This window comes from Homo sapiens, chromosome 9 (genome assembly GCF_000001405.40).
Source record: "Homo sapiens chromosome 9, GRCh38.p14 Primary Assembly".
NCBI lineage: Eukaryota > Metazoa > Chordata > Mammalia > Primates > Hominidae > Homo > Homo sapiens.
This window is the reverse complement of record NC_000009.12, coordinates 32,027,955-32,031,979: the sequence shown is the minus strand read 5'-3', so window position 1 is coordinate 32,031,979 and position 4,025 is coordinate 32,027,955. Positions and strand designations below refer to the sequence as shown.

Sequence of the window (4,025 nt, the reverse complement as noted above, 5' to 3'; positions counted from 1 at the left end):
GTCACTGCACTCCAGCCTGTGCAACAGAGTGAAATCCCATCTTAAAAAAAAAAAAAAAAAATTGTAATAAGAAATTCATGTAGAATCCCTGTTCATTCTGCTTACTTCTGACTCACAATAACATTTATACCATTTTTAACTCCTTACAATGACTATGAAAATATGACAGAAAGTGATTTGGTGAAATCAAAGGAGAAATGACCCCTTTTCTCTCCTACTGCTCTTCATGACCCCAAATACATGACCAGTACTTAGAAAAAAGTCCTCCACATCTCTTGCCCATTTCTAGGATAAAATTTGATTGTGTCAGATATAAAAGAAGTATCAGAGAGTCAGTAAATAATAGGACCAAAGTGATATGAATCAATAAACAAATCAAATCTGATTTGGCAAAAGAGTAAGTTAAACATAATGCTTTAAATTTTGCTTGACACATCAGAATATCTTCTTTTGCATTAGAAAAATCTTTCTTGATGTCTTGGAAAAAAGATTATGGATAATCTTCTTTTGATTGCCCTTGTGTACAAATAGGAATTCTCTTGACAGTTTTATCGTATGTTGTTTAATCATTCGAAGTAAACAAAATCAACTTTTCCTGTGTTTTAATATTTTGTCAATACATGCTTGCTTATTATTTTATCACAAAAGACATTTGAACTAAATTTCAAGCATAGTAATAGCTAGGTTGTATAAAACAATATAATAGATATGTCTTAATGGATTACAGTCTACTTTAATTTTTACAAAAGTAGACGTAAATGTTGGACCCATTTAAGTAAATTCCAAACAGCAGCAAGTTTTCATATTTTAGCTTGCTGTTAATATTTTGCTTCAAACTTCATTCCATTTCAGGAAGGAAAACATGTCACAGCATATAGCACAATTTGAATAATAACCTCAGCTACTGGTTGGTAGTGATAATTCCTGGGAGCACAGGGGACTGTTCATATATTCTGTGTACCTGAGTATCAAGGGCTACCACTGATGGCTGTGTAGGCCTGGTAATAAATGACAAAAGGTGAGTGTTATAAATACATTTGTAAAGATAAGAAACAGCAACACATATGCAATAATGTTGACTCTTTTGGGAGAAACTTTATTTTAGGTTACTCAAAAACTTCCAAATACCTTTAATAAATTAGAATTTTAGAACTTATGGGGATACTTGAAATTATTTCATACCAATTCCTCATTTTACAGAGCACAAACATAGATATTGGACAATCTTTTAAAGTACTTATTTTTGTCTTGTTTGGTCTGAGAGACTGAGATGTTTAGGAGTTCAAAAAGTATTGTCTCCAACAATTTCTCCTTGTTTCTTTTAGTTTCGCTTTTCATATTCGAATGCATTCTGTACACACTCCCTCCCCCACACATAGATGAATTCAACATCTAGAGTTGCAAGAGGGGTATATCATCATTAAAATATTTAACCATAATTAATAAAATGCACTTTGATTCCATGGATACATTCTTCTATGGATCCTCACTTGCAATTAATTTTGTCAGTGTGATGGTTAATGCTGAGTATCAACTTGACTGGATTGAAGGATACAAAGTACTGATCCTGGGTGTGTCTGTGAGGGCATTGCCAAAGGAGATTAACATTTGAGTCAGGGGGTTGGGAAATGCAGACCCACCCTTAATCTGGGTGGGCACAATCTAATCAGCTGCCAGCACAGCTAGAATATAAGCAGGCAAAAAAATGTGAAAAGAGAGACAGGCCTAGCTTCTCAGCCTACATCTTTCTCCCATGTTGGATGCTTCTTGCCCTCTAACATTGGACTCCAGGTTCTTCAGTTTCGGAACTCAGACTGGCTCTCCTTGCTCCTCAGCCTGCAGACAGGCTATTGTGGGACTGTGTGATCATGTGAGTTAAAACTTAATAAACTCCCCTTTATATATATATATGTCTGTTTCATTAGTTCTGTCCCTCTAGAGAACCCTGAGTAATACAGTCCCCCTTTTCCATGTTTCTTTTTTTGCCTGCTGGGTTTTTGCTTACTAATTTTTCCTTGTTACTTTGTTTTATGTGTATACTATAAAAAGGGGAAAAGGTTGTAATTAAAAAACATCTGAAAATATTTTCCTTTGGTTAGCTAATTTTATGTGGCTTTAAAAAATACACTAAATTGTTGTTTCCTTTGATTGGTCTCTTTTTATAAAATTATGATTTCTTTGTCTCTAGAATGTTTCCAGTTTTGAGGATACATATTTGTGTTCAAATCTACTAGTGGTTACTTTTATGTTTTTCAAAATATTACTTTTGTAAGAAGCATAGGCATAACAACCATTAGTTGTCAGATTGAATTTCAGGGCATGTGAAATTTGGAAACTGAGGAAAATGGGTTTGGTATAATAGTGGTATTTTGACAGTAAAAATTGATCTGCTATCTCTGGTAACAGCACACAGAATGTACTTCTAATTTCAATCATTCACTCACTAAATTCATGATTTTCCTACAACTGCACACTAGTACTTAGACTGTCATTTACTTAACATTTTTGTTAAATCAACTTATTTTTTAAATACAAATATTTAGTTTATAGCATTGCCTTAAGCAATAATATCTATGAAATTGTGGGATTGTAATGACAGGTTCATTATTTAAAAATATGTTAAAGTAAATCCATTGCAATTAAAATGAAATATTGTTCACACGAGTATCCTACAAAATAATCTTATATGCCACATGCAGTGGAATACTGATCTAGCTGACATTTCCCTTATTATCAAAGCATAAAGAGGGAAGGGCATGGGTGCAAAGAAAATGCAACAGACGAATAAAAGAAATGAGGATAAAAAGACAGAAAGGATAGGAAAGGCAATGAAAAGTTAAGTATGAAACACAGCAGGTGAAGAAATGAATGGTTGTGGGTATATAGTATTTCTTACAATATTTTTCTTCTCAGTAGTGAATACCTATTATTTTTACTGTCCATTATTCATTCAGCCTTTATTAGGCAATAACAAGATTTTCTCTAAAAACCATGTGGCTCCGTGGTTGAATAATATTTATTCATTTCAGAAATTTTCATTTTTATTAGCATGTAGATTGGTTAACTGCTAGGGAGAAAAATTGGGCATTCACAAACAAAATTATAAATGTGAATCAGTTTTGACTCAATAACTGTTTTTTTTGGAATGTATCAACATTGAAGTAACACAAGTGTCCTCATCAGGCATGGTTGTTGTTGTTGGTTTTTTTTTTTTTTTTTTCCAACTGACTTTCCTGGACTAATTCTATCAAGTCTGTATACTTCGTAATAAGTGACCTCTGAATTTCCTACTCAGTTTTTATTGGTCAGCTAATGATTGGACAAAAGTTTGTCCAGTTTGTCAATTTGTTTGCAATCTGGTGGTAGATATGGGTGGATTAAAATGTAATAAAAATTAGATATGAGCATATTTACTTAAAATAAAAAAATCACAATAAATTTCCAGTTTTTAAAAGTTGACAAATTCCTCAACATCACGATACCTCAAAATTAAATACTTCTATAATTAACAGGTTACACCAGAACTATAATGCCTTTTATCTTCTCTGTATTTTTGACTCCATACTCTTTGATCACCTCTTCTTAGGACAGTGATTTTGTAATATAACTTTCTTTAGTGAGACTAGAAAAATAATTTTGTCGTTCCTCCATTGTGGTTGATGTCTATTTGTTTGCAAAATTGATAGTTTGGTTAAGTAAAACAGGTGGCTGCATACAAACGGTAATATAGTCTCTCAGTATCTGTGAGGGATTGGTTCCAGGACGTCCCACAGATACCAAAATCTGAAGATGCTCAAGTCCTTCATATAAAATGATGTATATTTGCTTATAAGCCATGCATATCCTCCCATGTACTGTAAGTCAGCTCTAGATTACTTATAATACCTAATGCAACGTAAACCCTATGTAAAATAGCTGTTATACTAGATTGTTTAGGGAATAATGACAATAAACAACTGTACATGTTCTGTACAAATGCAATTTTTTGAATATTTATGATCCATAGTTGGTTGAATCCATGGATG

General features: G+C 32.8%; 1 annotated feature.

The window, feature by feature from the left end:
• Nucleotides 230-399: an enhancer, noted in NCBI's record as "experimental_108038 CRE fragment used in MPRA reporter constructs". NCBI's record gives its function as "activates a minimal promoter by MPRAs in K562 erythroleukemia cells, with activity observed for both the introgressed and non-introgressed 9:32031664 variant alleles {active_cell/tissue: K562}" and the evidence as "EXISTENCE:reporter gene assay evidence [ECO:0000049][PMID:34662402]".